Source organism: Homo sapiens, chromosome 13 (genome assembly GCF_000001405.40).
Source record: "Homo sapiens chromosome 13, GRCh38.p14 Primary Assembly".
Classification (NCBI taxonomy): domain Eukaryota; kingdom Metazoa; phylum Chordata; class Mammalia; order Primates; family Hominidae; genus Homo; species Homo sapiens.
Window position 1 is genome coordinate 20,272,037 of NC_000013.11, and position 1,799 is coordinate 20,273,835.

Sequence of the window (1,799 nt, forward strand, 5' to 3'; positions counted from 1 at the left end):
TCTCTGTGCTGGAGATGGCAGGCTTCCCATTAGCCACCATGCCCTTCTTCCTTAGTGACAGAACCCTGATTTTAGCCTGGACAATTGCCACCTTGAATAAAAAATGAGTTTTCCTAGCCTTCCTTGCCACTGGGTGTAGTGGCTAAATTCTGGCCAAAAGGATGAAAGGAACGTGTTGAGTGGGGCTTCCTGGAAGGCCCCTCAAAGAGGGCTGATTCAGCTGGGAGGTTATAGCCTTTTGTCTCTTTCCTTCTTCCTTTGTACTGCTGCTTGAAACATGGATGTGATGGCTGGTGCACAGCAACCATCTTAAATCATGAGGGGACCTTGAGAAGAGAGGCCACGTGCTGGGATGGTCCAGCAGAAAACAGGTGGCTGCCTACAGAGCTACAAGAGGATGACAAAGTACCTTCCCCCAAACTTCCTTTAAGTGAGAAAAAAGTGTTATTTGGGGATTTTCTGTTACATGCAGCTGAAATGAATGCATTCAGGCTCTGAGGCCAACTCATCAGACCTCTGTTAAATTTGTATATTCCATTTCCTGAACGTATCCCTCATCTCCCTTCACTCCCAGAACTCCACTGGTCTCCTTCTCCACTCCTTCGTTTTCTCCCAGTCCCATGGCCCCACTAACCTCCTTTTCTTCCCACATCCCAGCTCCTGCAGGCTGCGTTTTTCGTTTGTTTGTTTTTTGAGTCTCGCTCTGTCGCCCAGGCCAAGTGCAGTGGCTCACTGTGGTGGCTGCGTTTTGACAGATCTCTCTGACCAGCACTGGCCCCTCCTCCACCCCACTGTTCTCCTTGTTGCCCCTCCCCTTACAAACTTTTGCCCAGGGTCGATTTAGCCATCTCTCATTTCTCATTCCACCCACAGGCTGCTGAGGACCACAGGAGAAAACTTCCAGAAGACCTTCAGGTCTCCATATTCGTGCTCTTCCCGTGCGCCCCGTTGGCTCCCCGCTCCAGCCTTTCCCGGGACCTCCCGCATCCAGCGGTTGTTGGGCTGCCTCCCACCCAGCCGGGCCTGCTGAAGGAGGGGCCTCTCCTCAGCCACTCTGCCAGCTTTTCCCTCCAGCTGTCTTCTCCTCTGTTGGAACCCCCCTTAACCCCATATCCATCTCCTGTGGTCACCCCGCCTCTTTTCTCTCAGGGTCTTGCTTCTGGAAAGCCTTTGCATTCATTTTCTTCTTGCTTCTCACTTAACTCTTTGACGCATTGCAATCTGACATCCACCCCATAGCTCTAGGGAGCCGCTCCGCCTGAATGCTAAAGGCAGTGGATACTCTTGCCGCCCTCAATTTTTCACCGATCTCTGGCATTTGACTTGGTTGGTCATTTCCTTTGCAGAGAGCATTCCTCTCGGCTTGGATGATAGCACTGTCCCAGCACCAGTCCCTCCTCCTAGAGTACCTTCGCCCCTTTCTCCAGGCTGACTCCTCCTTTGCAAGCCCTATCCTGCAACCCTGATTGTCGCTGAGCTAGGGTCGCCCTATGATGGACCTGTGGGTGTGGAGGTCCTGTGGGTGTGGAGCCCACACACACACAGCTCCCAAGCTCTGACTCCAGCAGTCTCCTCACCCCAGCCAGTCTTCTCTCTGTTATTCCCAATCTGCACAGCCCTACCCAGCCCACAGATGTTCATGGCCCACTGCCACCCCTCCACCCTAACCTGTGCCATGGTTTTTTCCCCTTATTGTTTAAGGGAAGAACAGATTTGTAAGTATCCCAAAAAGGCTTATTTCCTAAAGGACAAAGGTTTATTTTTTTGTTTCACAGAGGTGGAATTTTCAAAAGATAACG

General features: G+C 51.7%; 1 annotated feature.

Annotated features, from left to right (window-relative positions):
• Positions 1,342-1,511: an enhancer, noted in NCBI's record as "experimental_32461 CRE fragment used in MPRA reporter constructs". NCBI's record gives its function as "activates a minimal promoter by MPRAs in K562 erythroleukemia cells, with activity observed for both the introgressed and non-introgressed 13:20847602 variant alleles {active_cell/tissue: K562}" and the evidence as "EXISTENCE:reporter gene assay evidence [ECO:0000049][PMID:34662402]".